The 14,808-nt window shown below is 34.3% G+C and overlaps 1 protein-coding gene across 12 annotated transcripts in view; it reads right to left on the bottom strand.

Moving 5' to 3' along the window:
• The window catches only part of WDR17 (WD repeat domain 17), a 116,975-nt gene that overhangs the window by 9,736 nt on the left and 92,431 nt on the right, over nucleotides 1-14,808 (bottom strand). For 6 of the 12 annotated variants that reach the window (NM_001378103.1, XM_047449570.1, NM_001350727.2 and 3 more), the window contains 7 exons: nucleotides 12,954-13,086; nucleotides 12,078-12,169; nucleotides 10,906-11,005; nucleotides 9,787-9,926; nucleotides 6,936-6,956; nucleotides 4,297-4,408; nucleotides 564-705 (listed from right to left, as the gene is read on the bottom strand). In NM_001378103.1, the coding sequence (NP_001365032.1) occupies nucleotides 564-705; nucleotides 4,297-4,408; nucleotides 6,936-6,956; nucleotides 9,787-9,926; nucleotides 10,906-11,005; nucleotides 12,078-12,169; nucleotides 12,954-13,086 (740 nt within the window). Of the gene's footprint in view, nucleotides 1-563; nucleotides 706-4,296; nucleotides 4,433-6,935; nucleotides 6,957-9,786; nucleotides 9,927-10,905; nucleotides 11,006-12,077; nucleotides 12,170-12,953; nucleotides 13,087-14,808 lie in introns of all 12 variants that reach the window. The other 6 variants (XM_047449569.1, XM_017007694.2, XM_017007690.3 and 3 more) reach the window with 2 other exon arrangements.

The raw sequence follows: 14,808 nt of genomic DNA, 5'->3' as shown, positions 1-14,808 counted from the left end.
ATTTCACATCAGCATCACTCTCCTTTTTAAATTTAGGATGACTAGTTCTTGATTTTAAGTTGATCATTGATATAGTTTGGATGTTCGTTCTCTCTAGAGCTCATGTTGAAATGTAATCCCCAATGTTGGAGTAGGGAGGTGTTTGGATTATGGAGGTGGATTCCTCATGAATGGCTTAGTGCAATCCCCTTGGTGATGAGTGAATTCTTGTTCTGAGTCCACACGAGATCTGAGTGTTTAAGAGCGTGGCACCTCCCTTCCTCTCTCTCTTCATCCCTTCTCTCTGCCCCTGCTCTCACCAAGTGATATGCCTGCTCCTGCACCACCTTCTGCCATGACTAAAAGTTTCCTGAGGCCTCACCTGAAGCTGAGCAGATACCAGTGCCATGCTTCCGGTACAGCCTGCAGAACCATGAGCCAATAAATCTACTTTCTTTATAAATTACCCAGCCTCAGGTATTTCTTTATAGCAATGCAAAAATGAATTAAAACAATCATCAGTATGAAAACAACGATCAAATAAATGAGTATATTTAAAATTCTACTACCAACTAATTACTTACCTTTAACAAAGCTAATACCAATAGGAAGGGCTTTTTCAGGTTCTTGACTTAACAAGTAATATTTTACAGTTTCAAATATATTGTCATCTGCACGGGCTGTCTCAGCTAACTGCATACATTCTTCCACTGTGGGTAGCTTACACTAGAAAATAATTGATTTGAAAACAATGTTACTAAAATTCAAACGGATAAAAGCAATAGTGTAAGTACAAAATACTTTCAGCTTTCCTAGTATGGTTTTCTTATTAAAGTTATCTAAAATAGATGTAAATGAAATTATTTGAATTAAGAGAATATATTTATGGAAATACCTTTAAGATCTAAAAACAGTAAGAGGGGATATTAGTTAATGAGTTAGTAGTTTTCCATCACACAAATACCTAATAAAAGAAATAGAAGTAAATTGTCCTGATTGTGATACTGGAGTTAGTACCCAAAAATGCCATTTAGCACCCAAATGATGAAATTAATTATGTTAGAAAAAATATACTGACCATAACGGCGCAAAAACGACATTAAATGCACCAAACATAAAGGGTGTGCATTATTCCATGTCCTCTACGCTGTAATTTAACGTCACTTGGCTTTTGAAACAAAGCAACCTTATTTCAGAGACACAAAAAATGTAGAAGCTCTAAAAGTTTTTAGCTTTGACATTTTGAAATGCCATGAAATGGAGATTTTTTCATCCATGAAATTTCATTACTATAAAATAAAAAGCCACATTCCTCATTAAAAAAAAATCTTTTTCTGTTAAAACTGAGAGTCTGATCCTCTCTCAAGTAAGTTGGTCTGCTTCCTTATAATGTATTAAGCATTAAGTTACCTTTTATATCAAATTCTGATGTGTTTATAATTGTTGAAGCTTAAACGTTCAAGTTTGTTGCTAAACAATGTGGATAAAATAGTTTCATGGTTTGTTTCAATTTATTTATTAATACATTCATTTAATCATTTCAAATTTCTTATTTAAAAATTAGGTAAAATGAACATTTTACATCTCAATCTCTCTCTCAAACAAATTACAACAAACTGAATTAACGGGGCTCTCATATATATAACGTTTGATATTGTTTCCCCATCCTTATTCATGAAATGCCAGTTATTTACAAAGCAACTACTATAGGGTAGGTACTGTGCTTGGCTAGATAGAGACATAGGTTCTTCACCTTGATATATGCTCATGGCATAGAGGAAATAAGAAATCACTCCCATTTAAATATCGTTTTTAAATAGACTATAAGAAGAAGAAAAAGATGATCATCCTTGTAATTTTTATCCTATTTTAAAATTCTAAAAGTTATATAAGTACCTCATATGTGAATATATAGTTTTTAGTGTTACAGACAGTCCCCAACTTATGTTTTGACTTTATGGTAGTGTAAAAGCAACATGCATTCAGTAGAAACTGTACTGTGAGTACCCACACCACCATTCTGTTTTTCACTTTTTGTACAGTATTCATTAAATTACATGAGATATTATTATGAAATAGGCTTTGTGTTAGATGACTTTGTCCAACTGTAGCCTAATGTAAGTGTTCTGAGCACGTTTAAGGAAGGCTAGGTTAAGCTATGATGTTTGGTAGGTCAGGTGTGTTAAACGTATTTTTGACGTAGAATATTTTTGACTTATGATAGATTTACCCATTGTAACCCCATGGTAAGTCGAGGAGCATCTGTACTTGTGAAATTGTTCAGTTATTAACACTTTTACACATACTCACTAGTCTTTCTAAAAAGATATTAATGAAGTCTGAACAGAAAGTCTAATTATATCCTTTTAGAATGTGTGATGAAAAGACGAGGTGAATAATATTCTAGCCCTATCATTAAAAGCGGTCTTAGCTAACTGCCTATATTCTTCTACTGTGTGTAGCTTGCACTAGAAAATAATTGATTTGGCCAGGCGTGGTGGCTCATGCCTGTAATGCCAACACTTTGGGAGGCTGAGGCGGGTGGATCACCTGAGGTCAGGAGTTTGAGACTAGGCTGACCAACATGGTGAAACCCTGTCTCTACTAAGAATACAAAATTAGCTGGGTGTGATGGTGCATGCCTGTAATCCCAGCTACTTGGGAGGGTGGGGCAGGAGAATCGCTTGAACCCAGCAGGCAGAGGTTGCACTGATCTGAGCTCGTGCCATTGCACTCCAGCCTGGGCAACAAGAGTGAAATTCCATGTCAAAAAAAAAAAAAAAAGAAAAAAGAAAAAATAATTGATTTGACAACAATGTTAGTAAAGTTTATAGGAATAAAAAAATAGTACATATACTAAATTTTTCCTATTACTAGTGTGGTTTTCTTATTAAAGTTGTCCTAAATGATATAAATAAAATTATTTGAATTAAGAGCATATATTTATGGAAATATCTTTAAAATCTGAAAATAATAAGTGAGGTCATTAGTTTAAGTCTTAAAGCTTAGACAAGCCATTTAGCCTCTCTGAGTCTTGATATTAACATCTGCACCTTCTGCCTCAGAGGATAGCTGTTAGTGTACATTCAAACACTACCAGTTAATGTATAATTAAAAAACTCCTACTTTCTTTCATATGCATTTTAATTTCAATGTAAAATAGCTTTTAGTTGTCATGTTAAAAAAACAAAGCACAGCTTTTAAAAAAAATAATTCACAGACTACAAGGTGTATAAAGTAGTTAAAATATCCCATCATCTCACAACCCACTGGTAATTTCGGACATTTATCCTTTCACAAGTATTTTCCGCGTCTCAACACAAACACATTCACATACACATATCCACCCACACGTTGTCATTCACACACACTTTTGGCCAATCTGTATTAATACAATACTCAGAAAATATCTGTTGCTTAATGAATAGGGATACTCACCCACTAGGGATAAAAAAATCACGGTTCAAATAAGTGAAAAACTTCATTATTTTAGAAGTTCAAGATGAGAAAATATTGTACTTATATCTTATCATTTTCTTAAAAGAAACTGTATCTTCCTAAATATGCTATAAACATAAATAAATACATACATTCACATTTATTTTCAAACCAAAATCATATGGCATATGCATAGTTTTGTGATCTGCTTTCTATTTAACTGTTTCATAGCCATGTATCATGCCAATAAAAATAGAGCTTCATGATTTTTAATGGATTAATAGCACTGAAATATAGAAAAGTACTGTAATTTAATATAAATAATCTTCCTATTGAACATTTTGGTTGTTTTTGTATATAATATTGATGCATAGATTCCTATATTCTGCAGATGAGTATTTTTAAAGCACTTTGGAAAAATGCATGTAAATTTCATTATATTTCATTAATTCTTTTAAGGATTCTAAGTTGTCTATTTTAAAAATTTATCCTACAACATACTTCAGTATGCAAAGTGTACAGTGGAAAACACTTGGGATTTGGAGTTAGACTTGCTGAAGTTGAAATTCTCACTCCACCGCTAACTAATTTGGGCAAATTCCTTACCTTCTCTGAGTTTTCTTTGTATAATTATCCCATGCTTTTCAAAGTTTTATGAGAATGAAGATACAAATACATGTAAAGATTTAGAAGAGTGCCAAGCACATAGCAGTTCAGTAAATGTTACTTCCTATTGTACAACACTTTTGTTGTACTTGTAGGTACCCCAAAGGGACCACACATTTGTTTCTCTGCATGCATCTCTATTTGCTTGAACCTACAATTAATTAAATCATAGCACTGCATTCCAAACCAGAATATTTAACATCATCAGCATACCTTATCATGAAGGTCATTTATCTCTTCAGTACATCCTGGGTAGAAAGCACAGAGTTTTATTAAATGTAGTTCATTATCAGGAATCATCAGAAGAAGATCAGCTGCCAAATTCCTGTTAACGTAACAAAAGGGGACACTTCATTGAGGAGAAGATTTAAAAATAACATTCATAACTATCTCAAAGAAGGGCAATTCATATAATATACCACTCTTGCTTTTTAATTTACACAAACAGTATTAATAGCCTACTTAATTATGAAACTACTGTAAATGCAGATTACCCAAACCAAAGGTCATGAACAACAAATGTATTTATAAATTCCTAAATATTAAAAACTAAACTTTACATACATGAGTCTTAACATACTTATAATTAATTTTATCATTACAGAACAATTCTCTAATCTAAGTAGTTTTGAATATGTTCTTTGGAGTGAATTATAAAGCAAACATTGTGAAAGTTAACTCTCGTCAACTTTTGTTATGCTTGTCAAAATTGATAAATTGTATCAGCCAGATCAGTGAAACCAGTAGAATATTGAGTTAAGTTCATAATTTTGGGTATCCCACATATTTCTTACATGATAAGTGGAAATTAAAGATAGTTTTCTTATTTCCCTTTTTTTTTCTTTTGAGGCATAGTCTCATTCCCTCTGTCGCCCAGGCTGGAGTGCAGTGGTGCAATCTCAGCTCACTGCAACCTTTGCCTCCTGGGTTCAAGCAATTTTTGTGCCTCAGCCTCCTGAGTAGCTGGGATTACAGGCACGTGCCACCATGCCCGGGCAATTTTTGTATTTTTAGTAGAGACAGGGTTTCACCATGTTGGCCAGGCTGATCTCAAACTCCTGGCTTCAAGTGATCCACCCACCTTGGCCTCCCGAAGTGTTGGGATTACAGGCATGAGCCACCGAGACCGGCCTATTTACTTATTAAAGATCCAATCAGTGGACTAAAGCAACTGAGGGTTTTAAAAATATAAAATGGTATGTACTTAGAAGATTTATATTAAAATATTTTCTGTAAAATCCTCTTCAAATCACTAGGTGAGGAGTAAATGGATGCATACATCATAACTGAGAAAACACTTAACTTTCAATAATTCAAGATATTGTTTTTTTTTTTTTTTTTTTTTTTTTTTTGAGACGGAGTCTCGCTGTCGCCCAGGCTGGAGTGCAGTGGCGCAATCTCGGCTCACTGCAGGCTCCGCCCCCTGGGGTTCACGCCATTCTCCTGCCTCAGCCTCCCGAGTAGCTGGGACTACAGGCGCCCGCCACCTCGCCCGGCTAATTTTTTGTATTTTTAGTAGAGACGGGGTTTCACCGTGTTAGCCAGGATGGTCTCGATCTCCTGACCTCGTGATCCGCCCGCCTCGGCCTCCCAAAGTGCTGGGATTACAGGCGTGAGCCACCGCGCCCGGCCAAGATATTGTTTTTAAAAAATTGATATATAGCCATACAGAAGAGGTGACATTAGAATAGGAGATATTTCACATAAGAATTTATAAAGCTGTGTGCTGGGGCCTCTGGGAGTAAAACCCTACACTTCATCTTCTTTGTGAAAACGTCAGTAAAATCTACATTAGTCATTTAAGTAAATCAATTCTTTTTTAAAACTTAAGAGGTGCTTAATTAAGAATATAATGAATATAGAATAGGAATAAAGACAATTGGCAAGCTCTGGTGTGAAATCCAAAGTTTTACTAAAAGTAAAAAATACACACACGTCACAAACTATCAGGACAGTAACATTTTCAATTAGGCTTACTTTAATGTTTTTAGAATAAGAAAAACTTTAGTGAAGTTTTTTACATAAAATATTTTGATAACTCATCATTTTACTAATAAATAGTTTTCTAGATAATGTCAAAAGAGAATTGATAAAAGATTACAATAATTTTTCATATTATTTTCCTCTAGCCATTAAAAATTACACATAATATCTTTCCAAACTGCCACATTTTCTATTACATTGGGCAGGTTCCAAGTTAGAGTAGTTTAGCTGTTCATGCTAAAATGCATGAATGATGTCATGTGTTTCCTCTTATCAAAATTTCATAGTTTTAAATAACGTCCATGAAAATATAGAAATTATCATTTGTTTTTACTGTGTATAAAATAGCTGTGCTAAAATTCTATTCAAACTTCATTGAACTATAGACAAAATTTGACTTTCTTAATGTAGAATTACATCTTCATACAGTGAAATTTTAGCAAGGCCAGCTAATTTCCTTCAATGTTAATCAAATTCACTCTTTTTTGAGAGTTCAGTACACAAATGGGGAAAAATGTACATATAAAAATGATATAGACCAATTGAATGATCTAAAATATAAAATTTCACTATCAGAAGAGATATTTCATTCTGCTTAGCTGAGTTAGCTATTATTTGGTATTGCAGGAAATCACAGTTCATTTATTGTACAACTTTTAAGTATAAAATCATGAGTGATTATAGGAACTTTTCTCATTACTTTGTAGTCAGGTTTCATGTGCTATAAATTACACGTGAATTGGCATACCATAAAATAATGTGAAAATAGTTGATAAATATTTCTTAATACAGAGATAGTATTCAAATAATAAAATAAAGGAGTATATACATTTTAAAGGAATGTGTTCTTAAATAAAAGTAGATAATACCTGTATCCAACACATGGAAAGCTAAAGGAAAATATTAAATATGAATACCATGATTATACGATGAATACCACAAAGAAACAGACTTTTACAGTAAATGTAAAAAAAGCGCTGTTTATAGCTTAAAAATTATGCACATCTTTATAAATGATGTAGCTATCTTTTAAAAAATCTGTGCAGCTCTACTAATAGCCAGGAGGATTACAGCTTTCTCCTGAAAGTAAAGCTAATCAGCACCACATTTAAACTGTTTCCTAGTTTCTGTTACACATATCTATGGATATATTAAAAAAGAATTGTTGGGATGGGGGCGTTACAAGGAAGAAGTTTGTTTTTTCTTAAAAGTAATTAAGACATATAGTTAACTGAAAAATGTTTAATCATATTATGTAACATACTATGTTATGAGTTTGAACTGCTCAGTAGGAAGCAGATGTAGATAAAGACCTTTATGATGACCCACTTCCACTTAATGCATAGTAAATTGATTTCTCTTCCTTACGATTTTCTTAATAACATTTTCTATTCTCCAGTTTACTTTATTGTAAGAATACAGTATATAATACATAAAGGATACAAAATATCTGTTAATTGACTGTTAATGTTATCAGTAAGGCTTCCAGTCAAGAGTAGGCTATTAGTAGTTAAGTTTTGAGGGAGTTAGAAGATATAGATGGATTTTGGACTGCTTGGGGGGTTGGCACCCCTAACCCTCATATTGTTCAAGGGTCAACTGTATACTGTATTTCTCTTTTGCTGCCAAATTTTTTTTTTCCTTGAGACGAAGTTTCACTCTTGTTGCCCAGGCTGGAGTGCAGTGGCATGATCTTGGCTGACTGCAACCTCCATCGCCTGAGTTCAAGTGATTCTCCTGCCTCAGACTCCCAAGTAGATGGTATTACAGGTGCCTGCCACCATGCCTGGCTAATTTTTTTATTTTTTATTTTTGTATTTTTAGTAATGGGTTTTTTTTTTTTTTGTATTTTAGAGATGGGGTTTCACCATGTTGGCCAGGCTGGTCTTGAACTCCTGACCTCAGGTGATCCACCCACCTTGGCCTCACAAAGTGCTGGGATTACAGGCGTGAGCCACTGTGCTTGGCCCTTTTACTGCTTTTTACCTTCACTTTTTAAAAACAAATCCCCTTTCATCTGATGATGACTTTTAGCATGAAATCAGCCACCTTCATGAATAAATAATTTCAATTAGGCTTCATGCTTTGAGACGAAGGCAAGTCCCTAGGTAATTGACTATTATAGCTCTTGATAGAGAGATAACTAGATACTCTCAGAGGAGAGTCACCATTAAGTACACTGAAGTCTGAAACTGATGGTAGGGTACTACTACATTTTAGTGGGGGAAGGGAGCTCTTACATTACTGTAAGATATATGTAAAAATTAAAACAACTTTGAAATTCCTGATTCACTATAAAACCTTCAGATTCAGACAAAAAAGAAGAATGTAAGTGTTGTTCTTTTCCCGAGTTGGCTGCAGATAAGAAAGTGGTACAGGTTGGGTATCCCTCATCTGAAACGCTTGGGACCAAAGGTGTTTCAGATTTCAGACTTTTTTGGATTTTAGAATATTTGCATATACATAATAAGATATCTAAGGGATGGGACCCAAGTCTAAATACAAAATGTATTTATGTTTCATATACACCTTATCCACACAGCCTGAAGGTAATTTATAGAATATTTTTAATAATTTGTGCATTAAACAAATTTTTGTGTTAAGTACTTTCATGTGGAATTTTCCACTTATGATTGTCAGGTCAACACCTGAAAGGTTTTGGATATTGGAGCATTTTGGATTTTGGATTTTTGGATTAGGGATGCTCACCCCAAGTAGTCTGACAGCTAAGAATGCAAACTTCAGAGCTGATTTATGTAGCTTTGAATCTTGGCTCTACCACTTACTGCGACCTCAGGAAAATTAAAACCTACCACATAGAACCTAGTGAATTTTTACATATAAAGTACTTAAAATCGTGCTTGGCACAGAGTAAACAGTATAGAAGTGTTAATTAGTATTTATTATTATCATTACCACCTGTGGTGTTCAATAGTTATAGTCATCTGTATAGCTCCACCTCCAGGGTGGTGTGTGTGTGCATGGGACTTGCAATGGGGAAAGGTCATAGTCCTGATAAACAAATTCATTTAGAAACTTCTTGAGATCCTAAGTATTTGAGAGAAAGAAAAGATAAAAATCTAAAATAATCTTTATTCAATAAACATCTAAGGAATGACGGAATCCCATATTTCCTAATAGAGCCTCCATAATAATGGATTGTTTGACTTAAGGCCAGGGCTCTGCAGATATGAGCTGGAATTGCTTTGCCCTGGATTTCCGGGCTACCCCAGGTAATTCCCAGGGTCTCTTTCTTTGGGTATTGCCAGAGTCTGGGGGAGGTGTCCTGTTTCAAGTGTCCAGCAAAACCATTTTTTGTTGTTGCTTTATATAAGTGACTTTATTGTACAAATTTAAAATAGGACACAAGATCTGACAAGAAAAAAGTGTAGATATGCGGAATTTTAACATGTGGGAATATGTGTTCTGATCATCTTAAGAAGAGCACATTTGTTGTCTCATGATACTTTAAGTGCTTGAAACACTACGGAATTACAACTGGGCTACTTCAGAATGGATCATGGCAAATTTCATTATACAACCATGATAGTTCTCATCATTATGACATTGTTATATCATTATTTCCTTCCACAATCTTATCCTTTATAAACAAGGTGATCCTATATTCTCCCAATGCATATCTTATCAAATGGAATTTATAATGTTTTAAAAATGTATTCCATCACTATGAAATTATTCTTTGAATTTCAAAATTCTTACCATACTGAAATCATCATGCACTTTCTCGCCAGTAATTCTAAGGCATAGTGGGTTGCTGGTGCTGCAGACTCTCCTAGTACTGTGCCCACACAGACTGCCAACTCCAGTTCATTTCCGCGAATCAGGTATGCCATAGCAAGCTTGCTCAATAAGAAAATAATTTCTTCAGTTGCATAGAAGCTGGGTAGGATCATCATTCCCCTCCAAGCTCATAAAGCAGATAAAGCAGTATTAACCTATAAATCAATTATTCTTATAAAATATTGACTGTAATATTCCTATAAAGTAGCTATGTAAGCGTAATTGCAATTTTCAGAGGGAAAAGTTATTAATGAGACATACAGAAATTTTTTTTAGGTCAGAATTGAAGAGTTTAGAACCCTTGGTTCTATTTTTGTAATTAATTAATAACACTCTATGATATTCTCAATATGTCCTTCAATCTCCATATCAGAAAAAAATGTAAATTTTTAAGAGCTTCTTTAAGATTATATAGTTATCTATCATTTCCTAAAGCAAATATATCTAAAGATAAATGCACAATAGAATCTGTATCTTTAATTAACATTTTCCTTATTAAATTAATGACTCAAGTGGAAAGTACCTTAAAAATATAACTTGTGAATAATATACTGAAAAATAAGTGCTTTCATTTGTATTTTTTCTTATAATCCTAACAAATATATGTGAAATAGGTAAGGGAGGTATTCATATTTTCATTTTAGAATTGAAGACATTTGAGATTCTGAGGGTTAAATGACGTGCCCAAAGTCAGTATGTGTGAGAAAAGACTCAGATATTTTGTGTCTACGTCCAGTGATTCTTCCCTTTACTACACTGGCGCTTCTCATCTATGTTGAAATGTTTAAAACAAGGTTGTTATAAATATGTGTCTTGTGGTAGAAATAAAAGAAAACAAGAGCTCATAGTCTATGTGTGCTTAAAACAAGAGCTCATAGTTTATGTGTGCTAATTAGGAATGTAATTACTTAATTACTCAGGCTTCGAAGACATGCAAAACCAGATCTCACATAGAAAGTCACCATATCTTTTCCTCTCAAACACCATGACATATCTAAAAAACTTTTCATTCACATAAACCAGTTTTAAATGTCGTACCTCAATATTATCTATGGCAAGATGGCAACATGCGGCTAGTACTGCTCGACCATCTTGAAAATACCATTCTGCCAGTTCTTTACTGACTTTGTGCAGGAGTCTAGAAAGAAAAAAATGTGTATTCTATATAAACACAAGTATTCCATTATAAAAGCAAACTAATACTTTTTAAAAGGTATGATAAAAAGACCAAATAAAATTTAATTTGACATGCTTGCTTTAAAGACTTGTTTTTGGAAAAAATAAATCAGGAAAGTGGTCTTTACAAGTATACGGTCTGATAAGCCTCTATCTCCCTCTATCCCCACAACTGTCAGAAAAGAAGCCTGATTTTAAAAGCTTACCATTCTGCATTGGACAATTTATGATTCAGCCACAGGGGAAGTTAAGCGTAGAAGAATTACAGGTCAAATTGAAATTTTGAGAAATTTATGTGGTATCCAAAATACAGCTAGCATGTGTTAGCTTTTTAAAATGTCAAATTTAGAAATGGCAGAGAATGGCAGTAAAGATCCAGGCAAGAATACATTATTCCCAACACATTATTTGCTTAACATTTCATGATCCTCTTCTACTTGATGAGTGTCTTAAAAGTTTAAATATCCTATTTTCTAGCTTAATAATAGGAGCAAATAGAAAGGATGGGGGAAGGCAGACTACTGGATTAAAAAAAGGTTAGAAGGCTGAAAAATTCTCATTTCCATTTCTTTTTTAAAATAACTATCAGGATTTCTTCTTTAAAAGAGGACCAAACATTATTCTAGATACCAATACTGGGGTCATGGGATTATAAACTACGTTACTGTGAACTTACATACACTAACTTTAGAGTAAAACATTAATAAGCAGTCTATCTTATTTTCATCATTGGTCCTCTCCAATAGGTTTGATTAGTTTCTAAGTGTTTAGGTGCCTTACTTTCAATCTCTCTAGTAAAATGCATTTTGCTTTTCTGAAAGCTATATAAAATGTGTATAAACAGAGTCTCCATGCCTGAAATTTCCCTGTTCATCTAGGAGTAAATGCTGTATGGAACTGGATCATGGTGAGGAATGCGGTTGAGGCAGTCAAGTCATCAGTATACAAAGAAGGATGAATTATAGAGACTTCAAAAATTCCTAAAGGGAAGACAACCATAAAACATATGGACCCAGAGCAAATAAATCACTCACTCATTAAAGTCTTCCTTGTAGATATCATCAGAATATGAAGCTCCTTTAGGCACGGAAACATGTAAGGGCTGCATATTTCCTTCACAAGCAGCCTAGAATTTAATTAAATGTTGAATTATTCTTTAGCTAATTGTTGATAATTGACACATTTCAGAATATGATTTTGAGCAAAGTATACTTAAATAATGTTTGAAATTTATACTATAATTTGGAGATAATCTTAGAATTTGAGGAGAAATGAGATGTTAATTGTGTGTAGCAAAAAAAGCTTCAAGTGAATTATTACTAAGTTGTTCAAATGCATGGTGTATAACATTCAGCAGCATGTGTAAAGTTTAGAGTTCAGAGATGCTTGTATGTTTAAAGATCTAAAATAAGTTCGGCTGTGTGTGGTGGCTCATGCCTGTAATCCCAGAACTTTGGGAGGTTGAGGCGGGAGGATCACCTGAGGTCAGGAGTTTGAGACCAGCCTGGCCAACATGGTGAAACCCCATCTCCACTACAAATACAAATATTAGCTGGGCATGGTGGCGGGTGCCTGTAATCCCAGCTACTCGGGAGGCTGAGGCAGGAGAATCACTTAAACCTGGGAGGTGGAGGTTGTGGTGAGCTGAGATCGTGCCATTGCACTCCAGCCTGGGTGACAGAGCAAGACTCCATCTCAAAAAAATAAATAAATAATAAAATAAAATAAGTGCGCTGTGACCAGAAAATAGTATGTTCTCAAATGTTGAGAAAGAAGGCCAGGGAGGAGGGCAGAAGCCAAGCCCTTTATGACTTTGTCAATTATGTAAGGGTGAGCCAGTCAACACAACCTTCTCCCTTCTACATGCTCAAGCATTCATGTATGTGACTGGGGTAGTTCTGTGGTTTTACCTGTGCAACAAGCAGAGCTTCTTTAAGCTGACCTCTTGACATGAAAAAATGGACTAGCTTTTTCACATCACCAATGGCTATGCAGTATGGAATGACATCATCCTTATCTTCCTGGATTAATTGGTCAGCTCTCCTAATAAAATAAGGACAGTTTTTTAAACAATATATTATTTTGAAGGTTTTTAGGTGAATTGAGATTTTCTGAAAGTATGGCTAAAATTTGTAGCAGATTTCATAAAGCCCTTTGGCATACCACTTTTAAAAAAGACATTTTATAATCAAATTACATGTGGAAGGCAGATAAAAGTTGTATGAAATAATAAATACTATAGGTACTTGTTTGTCTTTAGAACATGACATAAAATATGCCTGAACATTTTAGATCTTAAAATCAATGTAGTTTATTAAAATGGGCAATTAATTTATTCAAAAATATGTTTTATACAAGGTACGTGTGATAGGATATCAGGTGGATTAAGCAAATATGTGGGTATCTACATTGTTAAAGACAGATAATTTTAATTGTTTTAGGAAGCATAACAATGAATAGAGAGGCTTGAAACTCAAGTAGCTTAAAAATCACTAAGATGGAGAATATAGAAACATAAATATTAACAATAAAATGTAGAATGTCTTAAGTGCCTTAAGTGAGGAAGATTAAAGGAAAATAATGTTCCAGACATGTGAAGGGAGAAAGGGGATGGTAATCTTAGAGATTGTGAAGGGTGTACATGTGTCTGTTTCTGTAATCTGTCTCTGTCTCTCTGCACCCATTTCTCTCTCTCTCCCTTTCTCTCTCTCTCTCTCTCTCTCCATCTGTGTGTGTGTATGTGTGTGTGTGTGTGTGTGTGCATGTGTGTGTGTATCTTCCCATCTACGTCTCAGGTATTTTCTCAATGACTAACCCCCTAGCTAATTCTGCCCTCAATGTTTAACCTCAGTTTTGTTTAAAAATAACCTGGTCTATTTAATTTATGCTAGCATTTACATTAAACCAGAATTCAATTTTTAATCTTTGGGTAGGGGTAGCAGATATTTTTCATGCTGAAAATGGAAAGTATTTTTCATGATATTTGCCAGCTCACTGTTAACAGTCTCCAATTTCATAGAGTCATCGAAGTATTCCTCAACAGCTATGTTTTTACTATGTGACTTTGATTTTCTTGTTATAGCTGTTTAGAAAGAAGCTGGTTAGAAATAATAATCTACTTCCCTGGGCATTTGAAACTATGATTGAGAGACTGCCAATCTGGATGAATGGCTGGATCTATAAAGCATAAATGCAGGAGTTGTGGAGAGACCACTTTCTGGCAGCTACATGGCTAAGAGGCAGAGAAAATCAGGAGTTGGCTTTCAAAGATAAATGAAATAGACTTGGAAGAGTTTTGTGTATTCCCATTTGCCTCCTCCTTTTCCTTCCCCACTAAATCTATTCTAATCTTGCTTCAGTCTCCTTCTTTCTACCAAAACAGCTCTTACTAAGATCAACAATAACCTCCATGTGATCCAGATTTCTTCTTTGGGCTACAAAATCAAGACTGGCTATTGAACAATGCCACTAAAATCACAAGGAACTTCAAGCTCAACATGTCCAAAGAGAACTAATGATCTTCGTGCCATTTGATTCAAATCCTCTTCTAATGGTTTTGCTGTTGTTGTTGTTTTAGTTGTTTGTTTTTAAATCCCAGTGATTAGCAACAGCTTCTATCCAGTTTTTCAAACCTAAAACCTAAAAATTATGTTATACCTTCCTCATCTCTATTACCAAATCCAGTTACTTTTAACTCCTAGATATATCAAATTTGTCTACTTTTCTCAGTCCCCACATCACTACATATGGCGTCCACGCTACTGC

Source organism: Homo sapiens, chromosome 4 (genome assembly GCF_000001405.40).
Source record: "Homo sapiens chromosome 4, GRCh38.p14 Primary Assembly".
NCBI classification, from domain to species: Eukaryota; Metazoa; Chordata; class Mammalia; order Primates; family Hominidae; genus Homo; species Homo sapiens.
Note: the sequence above shows the minus strand (reverse complement) of the source record. Positions and strands in the feature narration are given on the sequence as shown.